The 24,799-nt window shown below is 41.5% G+C and overlaps 2 annotated features.

Moving 5' to 3' along the window:
- Positions 18,202 to 19,141: an enhancer, noted in NCBI's record as "OCT4-NANOG-H3K27ac hESC enhancer chr3:39618867-39619806 (GRCh37/hg19 assembly coordinates)". NCBI's record gives its function as "activates a minimal SCP1, AML or CMV promoter by ChIP-STARR-seq in naive and primed H9 embryonic stem cells {active_cell/tissue: H9 hESC(naive and primed)}" and the evidence as "EXISTENCE:reporter gene assay evidence [ECO:0000049][PMID:30033119]".
- Positions 24,054 to 24,586: an enhancer, noted in NCBI's record as "OCT4-NANOG hESC enhancer chr3:39624719-39625251 (GRCh37/hg19 assembly coordinates)". NCBI's record gives its function as "activates a minimal SCP1, AML or CMV promoter by ChIP-STARR-seq in naive and primed H9 embryonic stem cells {active_cell/tissue: H9 hESC(naive and primed)}" and the evidence as "EXISTENCE:reporter gene assay evidence [ECO:0000049][PMID:30033119]".

Here is a 24,799-nt window from a genome sequence, read left to right on the forward strand (position 1 = left end):
TCCCTATTCAAGATGGAGTCGCTGACATAGGTGGGAGGATTGCTTGAAGCTAGGAGTTGGAGTCCAGCCTGGGTAACATATTGAGATCCTGTCTCTACAAAAATAAAATAAAATAAAATAAAATAAAATAAAATAAAAAGTTAGAGGTTAGTAAGACTAAATTCCAGGATTTTACATTAAAAATGGAGGTTTGAACCCTCCACAAACACTGCTAAAATAATAGCAAAAGTTTTAAAATGGTATCAACTAGTAAGAACAAAGAGAATTGCAAGGGAAATATTCTTTGAAAAGAGAGTTCACCAATTTTTTGGATATGTAGATAGACAAGAGGGAACAGATTAGTATCACAAAGGATAATACAATGTAGTGCCTGTTGGGTGATTACTGACAAAACATGTGCCAGACCTGGAACCCCTGAGAAATTGAACACTTGAAGATACTTGCAATTCCAAAATCCATGAAGGTTGGAAAACAGACCAATTCTTTTTTGGAAAGCTCATTTAGTTGCATAAAGTGGTCTGACTTCACTCATTTGGAGAGAAGCTAACTTGAACTGACACAAGGCTATTTATAACCTTTAATTTTTCCACTGAATGTGCACATTTACATGCTTCACTGCAGAAATAATAGTATGTTTGAGAAAATTTTATTTATTAAAATGCCAACAAAAATAGTGATATATCTATTGGGAAGACAGAAGAGAGGGCACAAGGGGTAAGACTGAAGAATGTAAGAGTTAAATCCTCAACTACCTCAAAAGGAAGTTAAGGCATAATGCTCTAAAACTGGTATATTCAGAAATGGCAGTGTAAACATATTATTCAGAAATATGATAGCAAATAACTAAATAGTCCTATAACCACAAAGAAGACTAGGTATCCAAAAACCTTTTTTGGTTAACTTCTATCAAACAGTCAAGGCACATATAATCCTAATCTATATGACCTATTTGAGATAATATAAAGAGAAGGGCTGCTTCTCAACTCATTTAAAGGTGATAGCTTAACTTTAATACCAAAAAACAGGACAGCATGGGCAAGGAAAATTTCAGGCCAGTTATCAGTCATGAACATAGATTTATATTACTAGCAAACTAAATCCACTAGTGCATGACAAGAATACTACGTAATGATTAAGTACAGCTAATCCAGCAAAATAACGTTGATTCAGTGTAAGAATTCATGTAATATGTAACCACCACACTAACTGATTAAGGAAGAATAATCATATGATTGTTTCAGTTAATACAGAAGCATCTGATAAAATTCAGCATTAATTTGCGATTAAAAAAATAGGCAAACCTAGATGACAAAGAACTTCCTTAATCTGATAAGGAGTGTCTACAAATAACCCACAGCAAATGGCATCATCAATAGTGGAAGGTTAAAATCTTCTCCTTTGAAGTCCCGAAAAAGGCAAAGATGCCCACCATCACCAAGGACCTTCAATTTTGTTCTGGAGCTCTTAGCCAGGTATGAAAATAAAGAAACAAAGTTGACATTTTTGCAGATATTTACACAGACAAGTCTGAAGAATCTACAGATACGTTAGAATAAGCAAATTTTATAATTTGCTGGATACAGAATGTATAATAGAATATAATATAAGTATATATGTCTTTGCTTCAAATAGATTTATAAACTCGAACAAACTTATTTTGCAGAACTTGACATATTGACTTTAAAATTTATGTAAAATTGCAAAGGGCTAAGAATAGCCAAGATAGTCGTGAAGAAGAAGAATGAGGTATGGACTCACCTTACCGGATATCAAGATTGATATAAAGCTTTGGTAGTCAAGATAGTGTGGTATGAAAACAAGTACAGAACAATACTGATATGATTTGGCTGTGTTCCCACCCAAATCTCAACTTGAATTGTATTCCCACGTGTTGTGAGAGGAACCCAGTGGGAGATTATGGAGTCCTGGGGGTGGTTTCCTCCATACTGTTATGGTGGTGAATACGTCTCATGAGATCTGATGGTTTTATAAGGGGAAACACCTTTTGCTTGACTCTCATTCTCTCTTGCCTGCCACTACGTGAGATGTGTCTTTTGCCTTCCACCGTGATAGTGAGGCCTCCCTAGCCACGTGGAACTGAGTCCATTAAACCTCTTTTTCTTTATAAATTACCTAGTCTCGGGTATGTCTTTATCAGCAGTGTGAAAACAGACTAATACAAATACCCGATGGAAGGGACTAGAAAGTCTAGACACAGATCCTTTCTTATATTAACATTTTACTTATGAGAAAACAGGCATTGAAGATCACTAGAAGAAGAAAGAATTTTAAAAAATAGCCTTTGGGTCCATACATAGTATACAGCTATTCATCTAAGAAAATAAAAAGAGACTGGACGTGGTGGCTCATGCCTGTAATCCCAGCACTTTGGGAGGCCAAGGTGTGTGGATCCCTTGAGATCAGGAGTTTGAGACCAGCCTGGCCAACATGATGAAACCCTATCACTACTTAAAAAAAAAAATTACAAAAATTAGCCTGGCATGGTAGTGGGTGCCTGTAATCCCAGCTACTTGGGAGGCTGAGGCAGGAGAATTGCTTGAACCCGGGAGGCGGAGTTTGCAGTGAGCTGAGATCGAGCCATTGCACTCCAGCCTGGACTCCATCTCAAAAAAATAAATAAATAAAGGAAAGAAATCCGACACCTTTTGACACTAAACACAAAAATCAATTCCAGATCGATTAATTAAAAAACTGTGAAGAGTTTAGAAGATATGATGGAGACTATTTTGATGACCCTGCATAAGAAAATATTTAAAAATATGAGACACAAAAATGTTAATCAACAATGTAATGATTAATAAATCTGACTACATTAAAGAACTTCTGTTCATCAGTCACTGCAAAGAGAGTGAATGTTTGAGCCGCGAAGCGAGAGATGTGAATAACTAAGAAAGGGCTGAAGTCAAAGATGTATAAAGAACTTCCACAAATCCAAAAGCCTAACTGAAAACTGGGCAAAAGTCTCAGATAGACACTTCACAAGAGAGGAAAGGTAAATTGCTGAGAAACAGAATAACTCTCTTAACCTTAAACTAATTAAACTATAAATGGAACTATAATTAAATACAGTTAAACATATAGATATATATTACACAGCCAACAGATTGGTACAGGTTGAAAGGTCCAAAAGACTTTGAGTGTTAAAGTCAGTGGGCAGCCTGACAAACTTTCACTTATTGCTGAAAGGGCATGAATTTGTACCACCACTTTAGAAAACAGTTTGGCATTATCTAGTACATTTGAAGAGATGCAACCTCTATAATACAGCATTATCACTCCTTAGTACATATCCTAGAAACAATTATCTGCATGTGTACCAACAGATAAGAATAAGAATGCTTATGATAGTGTTGCTCTTAACAGCCTCAATGGAAATGACCTGAATGTTAATCCACAGTAGAGCTGATAATAAACTAATTGTGGATTGATATGTCGTGGTTGAGTCTCATTAGCATAATAAATAAGTGAAAGGAATAAGAGACAAAAGAATACATATAGCGTGGTTGTATTAGTATATAATGTATTTTAAAGGATGCAAAATTGCCTGGTATCCCAAAGACTGAAATCGAGACTCTCTTCCTTTCTCTCCAATTTCTTTATACTTGCGTTTCCCCAGATATTGCATTTTACTCTATGAACTTAAATTTGACCTGCGGAAATATTTTGCCCCAGAGTTAGTTGTGATATTAAGTTTGTTATATTTAATAGGTAAAACCCAGTTATTATAAATTCTCTCAGAAAAAGGGAATTTCAGACATTCCTGTTTTTGTTGCTTTGTTTTGCAAAATTTATATATCTTTACTGTTGGCACTGTTTAATCTTTCTTACTTTGCTTATTAAAAACCTCTTCATTGCCACTCTCTTCCAGCACGGGGCTGAATTGCCTAGTGACATAGCTTCTGCTTCCACTTGAGTCAATATGGAATGTTATTTCTTTCTATCTATTCAATGATAAAGCCCACTACCTTTTTGTAAGCCAATTTATACTCAAGGTCTCTAGACCACCACAGCACTATACATCCTAAAATTCACCATGTGTGGCACTTTTATAGCCAACCCCCTTCCCACAGAATGTCAACTTAACTATTTTTATCAAGGCAACAAAATATTAAGTCGACAACTCATTATAGACCATAGCAATAAATATTGAAGTTCAAATTTCTTACATAAACTCCTTTGTCAAAAATAACATCTGCAAGAACAATTTTATGAAGCAGGCACTATCACATTTCAGCAGCTTTTGGATAAAATGAACATTTTCTCCTTATTGAGATTTATTTCACCATTTGTTAGAAAAGCCTGTTAATATCAAGGCCAAATGCTAGAATTCCATTAATTTGCACCAAGAAGAAGGAAAAAACCCCACATTTTAGAAGCTCAAAATGTACAGTTTGGAAAGGAAAAAGATAAACTAAGATTATTAAAAAATTGAATATGAGCTATGAAATGTTTTGCATCTATAATACCAAGATGACACCCCTAGGCTAGATCCTACTTTATCTTTATTATTTTTGGTTATTCTGTTAACTGTCCCAAGCATATTTTTCTGGTTTTCTACAGAACTGGCAACTGCTAATATTTCCTGATTTTGTTCAGTCACTTTCTTGCTGTGTTCTGCTCTGTGGAAATGTGTACGGTGCTAGGAGACCTAATTGAAAAATGGGTTTAGAGTGAGCCAGACCTGAATGTAAATCTTGACTTGGTCACTGAGCAAGTTATAGAACTTTCTCTGTGAAATTGCAATAATAATACTTTGTTCATGCTTTGAGGTTTGTGAGGACAATGAGTAATGCTTTCATGGACAAGATGTCTCACTTTACAGTTGACAAAATACATGTACACACACACACACACACACACACACAAGTCTGGTACAGTGTAAGCCAATTTGCCATGCCAAAGGGCAGTTCAGAAGCAACAGCCCTACCATGGCCCAAGCAAAGTGGCTGTGGCCTGCTACCTTCTGCATACTGGGTCGAATTCCAGGCATAAGCAGACGCCACTCATACACTCATATTTGGCCTACAGATTCATTTTGTTTAACTTGCATAGCACTATTTTAAAGGTAAATGCATGCCAGTCTGTAAAAATGGGATGACTTCATATAAAAGACAGAATTTTCTACTTCTCTTGAAAAATTGGAAGAAAGTGGTAGCGTGAGTCCACAAACTGCTGGGGGAAGATCATTAGGGCTGGGGAGTGGCAGCCTCTTTTCATGGCATATGCCCAGTCCATCATGGGCCACCCCAGGCTGCAATTCCCAGGTACTTTATCTGGCAGGCATTTTACTTGCTACTGGGAGTCTGATAAATGGATGGGCTACACAGTCTCCAGGTAAGCTGTCTTTCAAAAATGCTCTCACACCCAGACCTGAGAAGTTTAAACAGCCTTCGTTGTGTGCTCTGGGAAGCAGGGAGGGTAGCTGTACTGCGGGTCAGTCAAGGTTAGTTCTTTGCTACCCAGGCTGGAGTGGCGATGACATTCTGAGCATCAATTGGCCACAGGCAAGGAGGGAAAGCCTCACTGGCCCAGCCCTAGGAGGAGATGTGTGAGGTTATTTGTTCTTCCTAAGGATGGGCCAAGGCCATATGCTCAGGCAGCTTTTCTTCCTCTCTAGTTCATAAAATGCTGTTGAATATCTGTTCTTCTACTAACATCCTGAGTGCTAGGCCCTTTTCCATTTATTTTTTCTTCTCTACTCCTGATGTGGCTGCCCTCCTCACTATCAAGACTGCAGTGGCCAAACTATTTGGGTGAAGGGAGCATGGTCAGTGAGCAAAGAGTCCCTGGCTAGTGCAAGATTAAAATGGAAATTTGCATTTTCCACACATTCAGCTCTGAGCTGAAAGAGTGGAAGATGGAGTTTCTCCTTCCACAGAGCAAAGGAGCCAGTGGATTTATAAATAGGTGGAAAACTGTGCAGGATTTTCACCATAGGAATTCAGTGGAGAAGGAGCACTGAAATTAGATATTAGACATTCACAAAATTAACTAAGATCCCAAGCATAAAGAGTTATTCAATAGCTTCTAATGGTCTGAAAGACAGAAAAGGTATCAAGCTAACTTTTTTTTTTTTTTTAATTTGAGATGGAGTCTCACTCTGTTGCCCAGGCTGGAGTGCAGTGGCACGATCTTAGCTCACTGCAACCTCCACCTCCCGGGTTCAAGCAATTCTCCTGCCTTAGCCTTCTGAGTACCTGGGAGTACAGGCGCACACTGCCACGCCCGGCTAATTTTTTGTATTTTAGTAGAGATGGGGTTTCACCGTGTTGCCCAGGCTGGTCTCGAACTTCTGAGCTCAGGCAGTCTGCCAGCCTCGGCCTCCCAAAGTGCTAGGATTAGAGGCGTAAGCCACTGCACCCAGCTCAAGCCAACTTTTGATTGATAAATTGTTCCATCTTTTTCCTAATGTCACAGTTGGTAAATTTGGGAAATTGTAAAACAAATGTGAGGTGATTAATTGCCCATGTTTGAAGCCTTGCCCTTTTTAGGTCCCTTCCTTTTCTCATTGCCCCATTTTCTATACTGTCCAATTATCTCTGACTTGGTATCCCTGAAATGGAAACAAGCTCTGAAGTATTTGCTTTATACCAACATATACCCTCCCTGATCGTCCTCCCAGATGGATTTCTGTTTCCTGCAACATTCACGCAGTGGCCTCTTTGTGGTGGAAAGGTGAAGGGTAATTTCCACCAAAAGCTTGCTGAGGTATGTTTTAATTAAGGAATGGGATGTAGCACTTTCCAGTTACATTAATGAAAATTCCCAGAAACAATTCTGCTTGGAAGGAAATATGTGTAATCTTCAGTTGTGTCTGCAATGCCTAGAAGTATGGACCCGTCCATTATCAAAAGTAGAGTTCACTAATCATGATATAAGACCCCACTCAGTCTAGAGCTGCATTGTCCAACCCAGTGACCATGAGCCATATGTGGCTACTGAGCATTCAAAATGTGCCTAGTCCAAATTGAGAAGTGCTGTTAGTGCAAAACATACACTGGATTTCAAAGAATTAGCATGAAAAAACTTTTAAAATATCTAATTAACAAGTTTAAAATATTGGTTGCATGTCAAGATGATATATTTTGGATATATTATATAAAATCTATTAGTAATATTAATTTTCACCATTTTTGAAGTTAAAAATGTGGCTACTAGAAAGTTTAGAAATGTGTATGTGGCTTACATTGTATTTCTGTTGGGCAGCACTGCTCTAGAAGACGGAAGAAAACACTACCCTTTTCATTGCATCACCTTTCAGTCCCTGTGAAGTCTACCCAGGATAAATATTCAGGGATCCATCACTCTCCCTTCTCCTCTCTTCCATGCCAGTTCCCCTGGGTATCCTCTAACCTCAACACTCCACCACCTTCCATTTGTCTCTCATTATGGGTGACACTCTTTAAGATGCTAAAGACCAAATGGATCATGGTTTTTTACTCTTTCTTGGAAGGGCATTGAGAGATCTATAGTCTCCCTTGTAGCAGAATTGATTTAGCTCTTTTAAAGTCTTCAGATAGGTACATTAACCATACAAACAAACTGTCCTCCTACTAATTTTGATGACCTTCCATGGCCAAGTTTTGAAGAGCTCTGATGCTAATATGATCTCAGACTCCTGACTTGATTCCACCAGATATCCTGTCCTACCATGCATGCAAAATAACTCTCCATAAAACCCACCGAATACTTTTCAATGTATTCCATGTATTTTCTTACTGCATCCTCACAGAATACATTGAATAAAGTAGATCTATTATAAAGCTCATTTTATAGCTATAGTTCCCAAAATGTAAAGTGTTTTGCACAAAGACTCAGAAAGGGCTAATCATAGAATTAGGTCATAAGCCCTAATTCTCTTCCAGGACCCCTGGTTCTCTACAGCAAGTGTAGAAAACAACAGAAAATGTGCTCACACTCTTACACAATAGCTCTAACCAGTTTCTCCTCCAATCCAGTTTTCACAATGTTGCCCGAGTTATCCTTTGAAAATGCAGACTTGTTTATATGTATTCGCTATAAAACAAACAAACACAAGCCAATCTTCACTGGCCATCGAATTACAACCAATCCCTTTAGTCTGCATAAGTGGACATTGATATGCCATCCCAGCCTTATTTCTTTCCTCTCCATCTGCAATCTCTGGAAGAAGCAGGTTGGGTTTTTCCTCTTCCACACTGCACCCAGCACCTGCTCAAATGCCACAACTCAGCACTTCTTGGGTCTTGTTTTCTCAGATCCTCTCTTCTGGCTCTTTCCATCACCTCTAAATCACTCACCCCCTTTATCTTCTAGCAAAGCCTTTGGGCTCAGAGCAAATGTCGACTCTATTGAAAGCTTCATCCAAACTTCCTCCAAACTTCCTAGGAAGAATTAATATCTTCCTTCTCTGGGTTTCTGTAATCCTTTGTACCGACTTTGTCCACTATACAGTACCATTATTACTATTATGTTAGAGTCAACTCTTGTGGTTGTCTCCTGCTTTAGACTGTGAACTTCTTGAGGACAGAGACTGTCCATCTTTGTATCTCTATGTGTAGTAGATGCTCAGTGGATGGTCCCATCCATTCTCATCTATATATTGGTGTTTCCCAGGTCTATCTGCTGAACTCAGCTTTCTCCCCCAGTTCCAGATCCAATCATCTGACAAATATCTCTCATCTGATGTTCCACAGGGACTTAAAGCTCATTGTGACTTAACTTGAACTCACTTCCTCCCCTACCCAACCTGCTTCTTCTAGAGTCCCTATCTCTGTATTTGACATCATCATCTATCCAGCTGCTCAATCCAGAGAGTGGGAGTTATCCTTGACTACATCCCCTCTTTTGCCGACATTCCTCTCCCTCATCCAAACAAACTGATGTATTACTTCTGCTTCTCAAAGATCAATTAAATCTGTGTACTTTATCCCTACTGCCATTATCTCAGGACATCATCATCTCTTGCCTAGATTACAGAAATTAAATCCTTTGGTGTCTCCTTGTCTTCAGACTTGCCTCCAGCTCCCAGAAAAGTATCTGGCATGTTGCAAGTACTCAATAAATGTATATTGAATGAATCAATCAATGGCTGTGCATAGATGAGTTCACATCTGGCGCAGCCACGCTCAAAGGAACCTCATCTGTTTGAAAATGTCCACTCGCTTCCTGATGGAACGACCCAGGAAATGACTTTAGAGCTGTTTGTTTTTGAATTGAAGACTTGAATAGTTTTCTTAACATATGTAGCACCCAGAAGCTTTCAACACATTTGTAGATCAGTCATGTCGGTTAAGTTTCACATTCCCCTATGAAATAAATGACCTTGAGAACTCCCTTTGGTAGCTGAGTCTCTTTTTTGCAGAGTTACAGAGTCTAAATCATTTTCCCAGAGTTAGCAAGGTGGCAAGGAGAAGAGGCAGGGCTCAGGTCAAAGCATGCAGTCTACAAAGGCTAGACCAGTTTGGCTAAATTTGGCCTCAGACTCACTGGAGCAGGCTTGGATCTCTCACTCAGTGGAAAGCTTGCTCCTCAGAGAGTAGCTCTGGCAAGGGGATACTGTAGGCCAGTGGAGCTGAATGAAAACTTCTGAGCCTCTGCTGACTAGAGGCCTGACACCTCATGCTCATAGCCTGTGGAGCCTGGGAGAGGGGCAAGTGAAGGAAGGCCTGGAACTTGGGCTTGAGGCTCTTCCTTGCCTCACTGTCATCAGTAGTTATGGCTGTCTCTTCCAGATTACTGCTGGAGATGTTAGGAACGATGTGCTCTCTCTCTCTCTCTCTTGCTCTCTGTCCTTAGTTTGCTTTCTGGAAACCAAAACTGCTGGAAATGCAGAAATGCTGTTGATGAAATCTATTTGGTAAGGGCAGAAAATTCAGAATTGTGAGTAATCACAGGATGCAAGAAGAATTGCTGCAGTCAGCTTTGATGCCAGGAAATAGGCTGTGGATGGGCACAGATAGTGGAAGAAAAGAATGGGAGCACATCTCAAATAACACTGCAGGTGGCCTGAGCTCTGGAGTGGGCCCACATCTTCCCTAGGCACCATGTGTAGCACTGCTGATGGGGAGCAGGAAGATTTCACTCATGTGGCTCTCAGTGGGTGCACACTGAGCACCACTGTGTGTGAGGCCCTGTGCCAGGCACTGGGCATGGAGCTGACGCAGCACAATCCCTGCTTCCTAGCCGCATAGTGTAGCCAAGCAGATAAGCTGTGCACATAAATAGCATGGTGCAAAATACAAAGTCATACATTTCACAAAAGAGATTTTTACAAGGTCCTGGGGCATCTAGAGTGGAGGGAACCAGGGGCCTTCTTCATGAGGGAAGAGGGATATTGTGACCTGTTAGGTTAGGTATTTAAGTTAGTTTTGGTGTAGTCAGGTGTGGCATAGTAAGAAACATTCAAACTGGAATGGCAAAACAATTACATTTATTACTCACAGACCCTGAGACATGAGAACAGTACACCTTTCAGGTCAACAGGAAGGGGAAGGGGACATCCAGAACACATGAGCTCAACCAGCAGATTGGAAACAAAAGAGAGGGAGGAAACTGTGGGCTGAAGCCTTGACTGGGATTCAGGGCATTGCCTATAGGGGTTTCCCATAGGAGGGTTGGATTGCTTAATTTGAAGGGAGTATGAAGCTAAGTGTGGGAACTTAGGGTTACCTTGTCAAGTTCACCAGGCTTGAAGCAGAAGTAAGGTGGTTAAGTGGTTCAGGGTACAGGGCCTTATCTGTCTAAAAAATGAAGATGGGAACTGGGTGAAGACCGTCTTGAAATATGTAGGTCAACTGTGACAAGCAGGGACAGGATAACAAGAAAGATGTTGCAGCAGCATTAATATAATGAGAATTATGACAAGACATTTCAACTGGGCTTAGACTTATATGTAGACTTGGATAAACAGAGAGTAAGAACATTCCAGAATGAAATAATTGCATATATAAAATCAAGAGCTAGGATTCATGGCAAGGAATCTGTTGCTAAAAGTTCTTCAAAACTCAGGAATAGGGAACCTGGCAGCTCTAGGTAATCTGGCCTTCTCTGTTGCTTCTGTGGATTTTAACCCCTGCTCCTGTGGCTGGTGGCTAAGGGTTTCTATTTCTATATGATTCTGGAGCTTTATGGCTACTTGGTTCTTAGCTTGTTAGTTACCCGCGAAATAATTCTACAGAGTTGATTTCCAGGGTATTGAGTCCTGTTCCCTGGTGGAAATCCTCTGCATAAAAGTTGTTGCTGACTTTCTTAGTGCACTCTCTCTGTATCTTTTGATTCCTTTACCATTTTCGTGCATACTGGCCCCCCACATGCTTTCCCTCCCAATGGCCAGCAAATGCACCTTTGTCGATGACTGCCCCAAGGCTGAGGGGCCTGCTTGGCCTGTGCCCATGAAGACCAAGATATGCCTGGGAATTTATGTCCTTCCCAGGGTCAGCCCTTGACTGGTGATAGATGGATGTAAAGTAGAAGTACTCTACTTTCGTTGTCCCCGACATGTGCCTAACCTGCCTCCAGAGACATTGTGAGGTTAAGCCAAAGTTTCCTCTGGGGACTTAGCTGGGCATCATACATTGCTTGACCTTTTTTCTTTCCTGATCCCACTTCCCCTTCACTTCTCCAGGTTTTCCCTAGAGAAAATTACTTCCTAATAAATTACTATCACTCAAACTTTCATCTCAAGGTCTGCTTCTGTGGAATCCAACTAAGACATAAGCCAAGTCTGGTAGGCAACATAATGCCCCCTTCAAAGTGTTCACATCCTCACCCTTAGGGCTTATGAATACAGCAAAGGGGGCTTTGCAGGTGTAACTAAGGTTGTAGATCTTAAGACAGAGAGATCATCTTGGGTTACCTGGGTGGGCCTAATCTAATCATGTGAACTCTTAAAAGCAGATAACTCTCTGGAAGGAGGCAGGAAGATGCAGCAGAAGAAGCAATCAGAGAGATTGGAAGCATAAGAAGGATTTGACACACGTTTGTTGCCTCTGAGATGCATGGGCCAAGTGCAAGGACCTGAGAGTGGCCTCTAGGAGTTGACATCTGGTAAGGAAAACAGAGGCTTCCATCCTATAGCTGCAAGGAACTTAATTTAGCCAACATTTTGAATGAGTTAGAAACAGATTCTTTCCAGTGCCTCCCACAGGCTGACACCTTAATTTCCACCTATGAAACCCAGAGCAACGAGACCAGTCAAGTCCACTCTTAAAAACTTTTTTCTTTCTTTTCTTTCTTTCTTTCTTTCTTTCTTTCTTTCTTTCTTTCTTTCTTTCTTTCTTTCTTTCTTTCTTTCTTTCTTTCTTTTCCTTTCTTTCCTTCCTTTTTCTTTCTCTCTTTCCTTCTTTCTTTCTCTTTCTTTCTTTCCTCTCTCCCTCTCTCTCCTTCCTTCCTTTCTTCTTTCTTTCTTTCTTCTTTCTTTCTTTCTTTCTTTCTTTCTTTCTTTCTTTCTTTCTTTCTTTCTTTCTTTCTTTCCTTCCTTCCTTCCTTCCTTCCTTCCTTTTTCTTTATTTCTTTTTGAGACAGAGTGTCACTCTGTTATCCATGCTGGAGTGCAGTGGTGCGATCACAGTTCACTGCAGCCTCTACTTCCCAGGCTCAAGCAATACTCCCACCTCAGCCTCCCGAGTAGCTGGGAGTACAGGCATATGCCACCATGCCCAACTAATTTTTGCACTTTTTGTAGAGACGGGTTTTCCCTTTGTTGGCCAGGCTGATCTCGAACTCCTGGGCTCAAGCAATCTGCCTGCCTCAGCCTCCCAAAGTGCTGGGATTACAGGCATGAGCCACTGTGCCCAGTCGTAGTTCTTTCTTTTGACCTGTAGAACTGTGAGATAATAATATGTATTTTTTTAAGCTGCCAAATTTGTAGTAATTTGTTACAGCAGCAATGGAAACAAATATACCCAAGTTTCACATAAATAATGTGCACACTCACTGTCTATCCTGGTGGTGACTTGTGCTGGGAATGTCATGAATTTTTTCCATATGACCACCCATACTTCAGATCCACACTGATGTAAAGATTTATGAAGTCTGTTGAGCTTTCCAAGGGCCGTCATTTCTTCTGCCCTCTCCCTGACCTCAATCTGGTTGCACTAGGGGTAGGGGCCTTAGTTTGCTTTATTTTCCTCTTACCTGTATTTTATCAGTGAAGGAATGCAGAGGACTGTGGAGATGGGACTTCTGGCAGTGCAGAGGGCATAGGCAGAAATGGGAAATCACTTGGTTGTGGTGAATTAGCTTGTCACCTGAGGGACAGGGGGAATTAGCACAGAGGGAGCTCCCACCAGGGCACTGAACTCCTATATTAGGTTCTCCAGGTTGAGATGTGTGAGTGCAAAGAGTGAAACTGCATTCGGAAATCCTGAGGTCCTTAGAGCAAAGGAGCTCGGCCTCCATCCTACAGTAGCAAGAATTGTTGGAGGCTCTCAGCAAGGGTCCTGGATTCTCCAATGACATATTTATTCTTTCTCTTCTGCATCTCTGTTGAAGCACGTGTGCTCCTTTTACCAATTATGAGATTTTTTTCCTGATCTTCTGTCTAACAATAACTTACTCTGAGCAGACACTCTGTAGTCTCAATATGTAATATTTTTTATCTACGTGCAGCTGCACACCTGTGCTATAGCCTTGAGGCCTGAATAGAAGCCGACTTCTCCACTGGGAGGTTTCCCTACATTACCACTCGGTGATATAGAAGTTTCTTCTATCCCAGTGCCTGACTCTGACAATCTGAACTGATGAAAGGTAAGAGAAATGACAATCTGAGCACCTGCTGCTCCCCAGGCTCTTTCTCTTTCTGCCTCCACCTATAGAGAGGCACCTCTACTTGTGAATATGCTCCCAGGCCTGTGGTGATGTCAGGTTGTATTAAAGGATAGAGCACAAGTCCTGCCCAAACAGACCTTACCCAGTGGTGTTCTTCCTGTTGCCCTGTCCTTAGCTTTTTTGTGTGTGTTTAGTTTTTGAGCACCCTGAGAATGGATTCATTTCTCAGGCAAATTTTACATTAATAAAGCTCATGAATAAGACTAACGTATAATGTAAATAGGCCAAATCCATCATTTACAAGAACTGTCTCAAGAAGCAAAATGTTTAAAGTTCAAATTAGTAGCACAGTCTTTCCCTGTTTTCAGAGTTAGTTGAAATTCAAATCGTAATCAGAATCCCAACTCTCATTTGCAGTGAAATCTCTGCCACGGAGAGAACATTCTGAAGCCCAAGGGGTCCACAGATATTCCCTGTAGTCAGCCATGCAGGAAGCCAAATAATCCAAAGGTTGATTGGTAAGGGTGGAATCAGAACCAGGGGAATTAAATAAATGTTCAATACTTGTGGCTTTTTCACTCCTGTAGTTCAGCGAACGAGAGTGGCGCCCAGCAGCTGCTTCTCTCCTGTTGTTTGCTGAGTGGGAGGGAGTGTTACAGCTCTTGTACTCTGCTGCCTACAGCTCAGCGGGCAGGAGTACTAAGCTCTTTCACTCCCACAGTTCGGCGAGTTCCAGGTTCTTGTCCCACGACCAAGAGGAATAACACACGTGGACACTGGAGAGTGAGTAAAGCAGAGTAGAATTTTATTGAGCGACAGAAAGACAGCTCTCAGTATCAAGAGGGGACCCAAAAGTGGGTTGCTATCTGTGAGGCTGAGTCCAGGGTTTTTCATGGGTCTAGAATGGGGTAGTGTGTGTTGATTGGTCCATGGATGGTCTTGGAAAAAGCACCATTCAATTGGGTAAAAGGCATAATTAAGAAGGAACCAATCCAGAGAGTGGGTAAAACCGGGATAGAAGTTCTCACTCAGTTGTGGACTCTGTTTGGAACTGGCAGCTTGGTTTTCAGGCTTTAAACTGTCCTTGGCTTGAAGGTGGGGTTTCACTGGGGACCCATCCCTGTCTGCCTAGGAATTTGTCTGTCTCCTGTCACTATCAATACCATCACGACATCATAGCTGGATGCTGTTCTCTTACAGTTGGGATGGTCTTAGAATGGCATTGGAATACTCAGAGTCCATTATCAAGGATTCACCATGTCTTTCTCCATCTTCATATTAAAGCTGTCTTTGCACCACAACCTAAATGCACTACTTCTGTTGGGCATGATCTTATCTTCACTGGACAGTGTTTAGCTTCTTAACATTCCAGTGTTCAGGGGATCTCTCTGGTTTTTGCATGGCTGATACAGGCCCTTTTCTAAGGAAGTTTCTTCTTTAGATACCAATATGTTTAATCTGTTTAGATAGGTCCTGCTAAATAGAAATCCCTTCTGACTTCTTGAGGTATGTTTTCTCCATTTCATTACAAATTGAATTTACAACTTGACTGTCAAGAAAAAATATTTCTGTCATTCTCATGTTCTCTCATTATGTATCCCAAACTTCTCAGAAAGTCATAAGCTTCACCATTTTCTCTCTATGACTTCCTGCCCTGATATTCTCTAGAAGTTCTAGGCTCCAAATGGGTATATAAGTCTTACATGGGATAAAGGTGCAGGGACAGGGTCTAACACCTTGGCCACTACAGGATATGTGCCCAACCAGCAGACAGCTACTCAGAAGTCTGATTGCTACAGAAGATATGCAGTGGGAGAGGGAAATTTTTTTTTCTTTCTTTCAAAAAAGCAGGGCTGGGTGATGGGATGAGGCATGGACCACCTATTGTCATTTATTTATCTATATCCATCTACCTTTTTAGTGAAAAATGTTACTAGATTTTGGCTATTGACTACAAATTGTGGTTTCAGCGTGGCTGTGAGTTTCTTAATTTGGGGGGTTATTTATAGTTTGGGGAAATCTCTATTGAGTGTTTCTCACTAGATTTAATCATAAATATAATTCCTAGTTCTTCAGCATATTTTGAGGTTTGTAGCTACAATGTCTAAACTTAAAACTATGAATATCATTAGCAAATGAAAGGCATTGTTACTGTCCTGGCTTCCCTCTTCCTTTGCACATGAATTTGGGCAGGTGAAGTTTTGGACATACAGCTCTAATTAATTGAGACTCAACAGCAATAACTTCATGATGTAAAGTAACTTCATGATAAGGGCTCTCCGAAATGTCAGCATTCATGTTGGCATCTTTCTAAAGAGTCTGTTGACTGTAAAATTGACTTTATGAATTTTAGAAATAGGTCAAGTTTAACAGGACCTTTAATAATTTCAAGACTCAGCATATGCCATGGGAAATGAAGACTGAAAATATTAAAAGTAAATATTTTAGGGGCAGTGTTCTTAGTAGGGAAAACTGAATATTTTTCTGAAGTGTTTGTGCTGTTGGCCTTCTGTTTATGTTCTTTCACAGGTTGTGATAGTTGGAAAATGGATGAGCTTGAAGCTGGTAAAAACAAGAATGGAATCCAATCAAAAGAGTTTAGATCAATTGATTTTACTTCTCTTTGAACTTTGCTTAACAGAAAAATGTGGGCGACGATATCAGGATTCAAGATACAACATACATAAAGTTGTCAGCAGGTGTTAATTTTTTCCTTTTGCAGCACCTTTATCTTCTTTTATTTTTAGTCACTTTTATTCTTTGACCCATCAATATCATCACATCTCATCTTTTTCAAATCGGGTACTTTGGATCAGTTTCTAGTCTATACATAATCCCAGAGATAAGAAAAGTTCCTTTATTTGAGGATAATTTGTCATGAACATTACTATCATGTTTTGACATTTATCAAATATTTGCTGGTTTGGGAAAGAGACCATTAGTATATAAAACCTCAACATCGCATCTACTGTATTGCTTAGGCAGGCAGAAGAATAAATGAAATTAAAGCATTTGTTCTTCTAAATTATGAGGTGATCTCATGTTCTTCATTCACATATGTAATATTACTCTTTAATCTTCTCCAAAATATGTTCTTATCTGTCAGCTGATTTAATTTGACCCTCCCAGACCACTTTAGGAAATTGTTTGATACTTTTTTTTTGTTGTTACAGTCAAGGAAACTGAGACACAAAAAGACACAAAAGACGCATACCCAGCTTTAGTGTCTTGCCCAAAGAATCCAAGGCTCACCAGTGCTAGATAGGTTTTTTTAATCCCCAGAGGAGCTACAGACACCTTAAATGCTATGCCATTTGCAGTAAGTATTTGCACATAGTCATGCATTAATCATGTTAATATTAATGTTATAAACACCCATGCATCTATTTTAAGGTGCACCAAGGTAACAGTTTGGCCACACGCATTATTTTCTTTTCGGATTTTTAATCATTCATAATATCTAGCCAATAACAATTTCAGTACAAATGGATTAGTGAGCATATTACAATCACTTCTACCTATAGTTATTGCCCTTGGAAAGACTTTATTCTCAGCTATTTATTAAGAGCTTCAAAACTCTTAGCATAACATAAATTAAATCAGATTATTTAAAATGGTCACTAGTGCATTATAATAGTTCTTGGTTGCAAATGTATGTTTTGTTATTTTTGAGTCCTTTGATTATGACTATACATTAGCAATAAATATAAATATATCATCAATCCAGCTTTGAAATCAAAGATTTTTAGCCAATTTACCCTATGTAAGTTCATAAAGCAATATCACCTTCTAACTTAAAGATAAAGTGACTTAAAACCGACTGAGCAGATGTGTTTAAATGCTCTTGCACCAATTCTAGTGTCTCCCAAGCAGAGAAACACTGTAAGAAAAGAAAACAAACTCACAGATTCCCTTCTCTCATCTACATTCAGCCCAAGCATGAAAAGTATTACCAGTAGCCAAAAAATGTAATTTAATTCACTCCTACTTGGATTTCCACCTGGACTTCATCATACAACAATGAGAAAAGAATATGTTAAATGCATACAGCCTATATAACATTTTTAATGAAATGTTGGTATGCCCCTCTACCAAATGGTCTGAAAAGACAAAACCCTTCTGCAAAGTAAAAAGCTATTTGTGGGAATCAGAAAGATATGTGGCTTTAAGCAATATTTCTATTTAAGCAAAATATCAGGAGTTCTTCATTTAATAAATGTATGTTCACAGTCAGAACATCTAAGTAAAAGCATATATGAAATTAAAGTTCAGTTTAAACAGTAAGATTTCCTGAAACTCATTTTTTCTTTTCTTCTGTGATAATTATTTTAAAATTAGGCTTCAAATTATTTTTTGCTTTATATGATGAATGATTGTCTTTCTCATTCTAAAATCTATTTTGCCAGAAATTCAGCTATTCTAGCTTTATTTTGGTGAGTATATTATATAATGGTATCTTTCTTCCACCCTTTTACTTTTAACCTAGCTAGCTATATATATATATTTTTTTTCCGGTTTTAAAGAGCAGAGAGTTTAATAGGCAAGAAAGAAGGAAGAAACTCCCCTGTACAGAGACACAGGAAGAGGGGCTCCAAAGCTGAGAGAGGAAACCCCGAGTGCCATGGAAATCAGCCAGTAATATGAGGAGGCTGGAGGAGGTGGTGTCTGGTTTGCATAGGGCTCAGGGGATTAGTTTGACCTGGTATGTCATTCACATAGCCAACGAAAAACTGGCCCTCCCACCCTAACCTTTTAATATGCAAATACAGGGCACCATGATGTCCTACACATGTGGGGATATGTGGGGGCGGCCATGTTGCCAGGCACATGTGGGGGCAATAACCTAGCTATGTCTTCATATCTAAGTGGGTTTTCTTGTAGACAGTTTCATGTGCGTCCGTGTAAAGAGACCACCAAACAGGCTTTGTGTGAGCAACATGGCTGTTTATTTTACCTGGGTGCAGGCAGGCTGAGTCCGAAAATAGAGTCAGTGAAGGGAGATAGGGGTGGGGCCATTTTATAGGATTTGGGTAGGTAAAGGAAAATTACAGTCAAAGGGGGGTTGTTCTCTGGCGGGCAGAGTGGGAGTCACAAGGTGCTCAGCAGGGGAGCTTTTGAGCCAGGATGAGCCAGGAGAAGGTATTTCACAAGACAATGTCATCAGTTAAGGCAGGAACAGGCCATTTTCACTTCTTTTGTGTGGAATGTCATCAGTTAAGGCAGGAACCGGCCATCTGGATGTATACATGCAGGTCACAGGGGATATGATGGCTTAGCTTGGTCTCAGAGGCCTAACATTCCTGTCTTCTTATATTAATAAGAAAAATAAAATGAAATAGTGGTAAAGTGTTAGGACGGTGAAAATTTTTGGGGGTGGTATGGAGAGATAATGGGCGATGTTTCTCAGGGCTGCTTCGAGTGGGATTAGGGGCGGCGTGGGAACCTAGAATGGGAGAGATTAAGCTGAAGGAAGATTTTGTGGTAAGGGGTGATGTTGTGGGACTGTTAGAAGAAACATTTGTCATTTAGAATTATTGGTGATGGCCTGGATACAGTTTTATATGAATTGAAAAACTAAATGGAATAAGAGAAGGAGAAAAACAGGTATTAAAGGTCTAAGAATTGGGAGGACCTACGACATCTAATTAGAGTGCCTAAGGAAATTCAGCATAGTCCTGTCAGCAAAGATTATTTATTTACTTCAAGAGTTAAGAGTGGCAGTTTGGGGATAGCACCAGGAGATATCAGCTGTGATGGCTTGGAGAAACAGTGTAAACCGGCAGTGTAAACAAGAGCAGGGCATGTATGAGTAGTTGAGAACGGTGAATAGGAGTATGACTAGACAGAAGATAGTAGGGATGACAAGTTTTTTTGGGGCACAGTCTAAGTTAGTCTGGTGTCTGGAATGAGACTGGGGCCTAACAAAAAGGAGCATCTATACAGGAGCTCAAATGGGCTGTACCCTGTAGCATTCTGAGGACAGGTCTGACTTCTGAGAAGGGAAAGTGGTAAAAGTATTGTCTAGTCCTTTTTAAGTTGGTGGCTGAGCTTGGTGAGGTGTATTTTTAAAAGACCATTAGTCTGTTCTACTTTTCCTGAAGACTGAGGACTGTAAGGGATATAAAGGTTTCACTGAATACTAAGAGCCTGAAAAACTGCTTGGCTGATTTGACTAATAAAGGCTAGTCTGTTATCAGACTGTATAGAGGTGAGAAGGCTAAACTGAGGAATTATGCCTGAAGGAAGGGAAGAAATGACTGCAGTGGCCTTCTCAGACCCTGTAGGAAAGGACTCTACCTATCCAGTGAAAGTGTCTACCTAGACTAAGAGGTATTTTAGTTATCTGACTCGCATGTTGAGTAAAGCTAATTTGCCAGTCCTGGGTGGGGGCAAATCCTCAAGCTTGATGTGGAGGGAAGGGAGGGGGGCCTGAATAATCTTGAGGAGTAGTAGAATAGCAGACGGAACACTGAGAAGTTATTTCCTTGAGGATAGATTTCCACGATGGAAAGGAAATGAGAGATTTTAAGAGGCGGGCTAGTGACTTGTACTATAGCATAGCCTGCCTTTGCTGGTGTGTGGCAATTAGGCCTGGTGGAACTGCCATTAATAAATCAAGCGTGATCAGGGTGAGGAACAGGAAAGAAAGAAGTATGGGGAAGTGGGGTGAATCTCAGGTGGATCAGAGAGATACAGTAATGAGGCTCAGGTGTGGTATCCAGAATAATGTGGGAGGCCGGATTGAAGTCCGGGCCAGGAACAATGGTAATTGTGGGACTTAACAAAGAGTGAGTACAGCTGAAGGAGCCGGGGAGCAGAAAGTATCTGCGTCAGGTATGAGGAAGAAAATAGATTTTGGAAGTTATGAGAAATGTAGAGAGTAAGTTGAGCATAGGTTGTGATTTTGAGGGCCTCTAAAAGTATTAGGGCGGCAGCAGCCACTGCACGGAGACATGATGGCTATGCTAAAACAGTAAGGTCAAGTTGTTTGGACAGAAAGGCTACAGGGTGTGGTCCTGGCTCTTGTGTAAGAATTCTGACCGCACTAACCATGCCTAGGGAGGAAAGGAGTTGTTTTATTAGGGATTGAGGTTTGGGAGATTAATCAGACATGATCAGCAGGGAGAGCACGTGTGTTTTTATGAGAATTATGCTGAGATAGGTAACAGATAAGGAAGAAATTTCAGCTTGACTGAAGTAATGGGGGCTGTCTGTGAAGCCTTGCGGCAGTACAGCCCAGGTAATTTGCTGAGCCTAATGGGTGTCAGGGTCAGTCTAAGTGAAAGCAAAGAGAGGCTGGGACGAGGGGTGCAGGGGAATAGTGAAAAAAGCATCTTTAAGATCGAGAACAGAATAGTGAGTTGTGGAGGAAGGTATTGAGGACAAAAGAGTGTACGGGTTGGGCACCATAGGATGGATGGAAAAACAATTTGGTTGATAAGGCGCAGATCCTGAACTAATCTGTAAGACTTGTCTGGTTTTTGGATAGGTAAAATGGGGGAATTGTAAGGAGAGTTTATAGGTTTTAGAAGCCCATGCTGTAGCAGGCGAGTGATAACAGGTTTTAATCCTTTTAAAGCGTGCTGTGGGATTGGATATTGGTGTTGAGCGGGGTAAGGGTGATTAGGTTTTAATGGGATGGTAATGGGCATGTGATCGGTTGCCAGGGAAGGAGTAGAGATGTCCCATACTTGTGGGTTAAGGTGGGGGGATACGAGAGGAAGACGCGAAGGAGGCTTTGGGTTGGGGAGAAGTGCAGCAATGAGATGTGGCTGTAGTCCAGGAATAGTCAGGGAAGCAGATAATTTGGTTAAAATATCTCAGCCTAATAAGGGAACTGGGCAGGTGGGGATAACTAAAAAAGAGTTCATAAAAGAGTGTTGTCCAAGTTGGCACCAGAGTGGGGGAGTTTTCAGGGGTTTAGAAGCCTGGCCGTCAATACCCACAACAGTCATGGAGGCAAGGGAAACAGGCCCTTGAAAAGAAGGTAATGTGGAGTGGGTAGCCTCCGTATTGATTAAGAAGGGGACGGACTTACCTTCCACTGTGAGAGTTACCCGAAGCTCGGCATCCGTGATGGTCTAGGGGGCTTCCGAGGTGATCGGGCAGTGTCAATCTTCAGCCGCTAAGCCAAGAAGAACTGGGAAGAAGTCAGAGAGCCTTGGGCCAGAGTTCCAGGGGCTCTGGGAGTGGCTGCCAGGTGAGTTGGACAGTCCAATTTCCAGTGGGGTCCCGCACAGATGGGACGCGGCTTAGGAGGAATCCTGGGCTGCAGGCATTCCTTGGCCTGGTGGCCAGATTTCTGGCACTTGTAGCAAGCTCCTGGGGGAGGAGGTTCTGGAGAAACGCCTGGCTGCTCCGGTTCAGGCATTTGGAAGTTCTTGTGTGCTGGAGATGTGGCTGGGGTTTGTCTCACAGTGGAGGCAAGGAATTGCTACTTTTTTCTATTATTGTACACCTTGAAGGCGAGGTTAATTAAATCCTGTTGTGGGGTTTGAGGGCCAGAATTTAATTTTTGGAGTTTTATTTAATGTCAGGAGCAGATTGGGTAATACAATGTATTTTGAGAATAAGACGGCCTTTTGACCTTTTAGGGTCTAGGGCTGTAAAGTGTCTCAGGGTTGCTGCCAAACGAGTCGTGAACTGGGCTGGATTTTTATATTTGATGAAAAAGAGCCTAAACGCTATCTGATTTGGGATAAAGAAAAAGGAGCATTAACCTTGACTATGCCTTTAGTTCCAGCCACCTTTTTAAGAATAAATTGCTGGGCAGGTCGGGGAGGGCTAGTCATGGAACGAAACTGTAAGCCAGACCAGGTGTGAGGAGGGGAGGTGATAAAAGGATTATAGGGTGGAGGAGCGGAGGCTGAGGAAGAATTGGGACCTAGCTCAGCCTGGTGAGGAGCAGCCTGGGGAGGAGAGGAGAGGTCAGAAGGGTCTGTAGAAAAGGAAGATTAGAAAGACTCAGTGACACCTGGGGTTGGGACTGGGGGGACAGATGGGAGGGAAAGAAGGAAGATTTGGGACGAGTTGCACTGGGCACAGAGACTAGGGAGGGACCGATGTGTAGAAGAATGCCTGGACGTCAGGCATCTCAGACCGTTTGTCCATTTTATGACAAGAATTATTTAGATCTTGCAGGATGAAAAAATTGAAAGTGCTGTTTTCTGGCTATTTGGAACTACTGTTGAGTTTGTATTGGGGTCAAGCAGCATTGCAGAAGAAAATAAGACACTTAGATTTTAGGTCAGGTGAGAGTTGAAGAGGTTTTAAGTTCTTAAGAACAGAGGCTAAGGGAGAAGAAGGAGGAATGGAGGGTGGAAGGTTGCCCATAGTGAAGGAGGCAAGTTTAAAGAAAAGGGAGAGTAGAGACAAGGAGGGAAGCGGTTTGGGGGTTCTTACCCTCCAGAAAAGTGGGAAAGGGGTCGGGGTGCAGAGATACGAGGTTGGGGCATGGAAATAAGGGATCAGGGCACAGAGATATAAGAGGTTGGGGTGCGGAAATAAGGGATCGGGGCACAGAGATATGAGGTCGGGGCATGGAAATAAGGGATTGGGGTGCAGAGATAAGAGGTTGGTGCGTGGAAATAAGGGATTGGGGTGCAGAGATATAAGAGGTTGGGGCACAGAAATAAGGGATTGGGATGCAGAGATACGAGGTTGGGGTACTTGCCCCTCCTCTAGAAAAGCGGGACTTGCTGCTAAGAGTGAGGGAGAAGGGGTTGGGGGTTTCTTGCCCCCCAGAAAGGTGGAGAAGGGGTAGAGACATGGAGAGAAGGGGTTGGGGTACTTGCCCCTACCCCAGAAAAGAGGGATTTGCCTCTAAGGGTGAAGGACCAAGGCAGGCATCCCTGCGTGGTCTGACACCTCTGAAACCTGGGTGAATAATCAGAGAGGTGTCCCTGCAATGATTAAACACCAAGGGAAGGCTGCCTTCCCTAGTCCGTGACTGGCGCCGGAGTTTTGGGTCCATGGATAAAATGTGTCTCCTTTGTCTCTACCAGAAAATGAAAGGAATTGAAATTAAAAGAAGGGAGAGATTGAAGATTGGAAAGGAGAAAGTGGTTGAGGGACAGTGAGAGAGGTTGGAGAAGAGAGTAAAAAGAAGCCGCTTACTGGATTTGAAATTGGTGAGATGTTTCTTGGGCTGGTTGGTCTGAGGACCTGAGGTCATAGGTGGATCTTTCTCACGGAGCAAAGAGCAGGAGGACAGGAGATTGATCTCCCAAGGGAGGTCCCCCGATCTGAGTCATGGCACCAAATTTCATGCGCGTCCCTGTGAAGAGACCACCAAACAGCCTTTGTGTGAGCAACATGGCTATTTATTTCACCTGGGTGCAGGTGGGCTGAGTCTGAAAAGAGAGTCAGCGAAGGGAGATAGGGGTGGGGCTGTTTTACAGGATTTGGGTAGGTAAAGGAAAATTACAGTCAAAGGGGGGTTGTTCTCTGGCTGGCAGAGTGGGAGTCACAAGGTGCTCAGTAGGGGAGCTTTTGAGCCAGGATGAGCCAGGAGAAGGAATTTCACAAGACAATGTCATCAGTTAAGGCAGGAACAGGCCATTTTCACTTCTTTTGTGTGGAATGTCATCAGTTAAGGCAGGAACCGGCCATCTGGATGTGTATGTGCAGGTTACAGGGGATATGATGGCTTAGCTTGGGCTCAGAGGCCTAACAGACAGCATGTATTTATAGTAGAGTCTAGCTTTTTAATCCAATCCGATAATCTGATGTTTAACTGGCATATTTACACCATTTACATTTAAACTGATTACTAATATATTTGAATTGAAATGTACCATGTCGCTGGCTGTTTTCTATTTGTTCTGTTAACCAAAATGAGTGACTAAGGCAAGAGTCTCTATCAATTGATGTTTATTGAGCTCGAGCTTGAGGGCATGCCCAAGATAAACAGGAGTCACAGAAATCTTCTGTGGCTTATATTCTCCCTGAAGGGGTTTTCAGGAGGCTCAGTATTTATACATTTCCTTAAGGGAGAAAAGGCGTGTAGGATAGGCAGAAGAATGATTGC

This window comes from Homo sapiens, chromosome 3 (assembly GCF_000001405.40).
Source record: "Homo sapiens chromosome 3, GRCh38.p14 Primary Assembly".
NCBI lineage: Eukaryota > Metazoa > Chordata > Mammalia > Primates > Hominidae > Homo > Homo sapiens.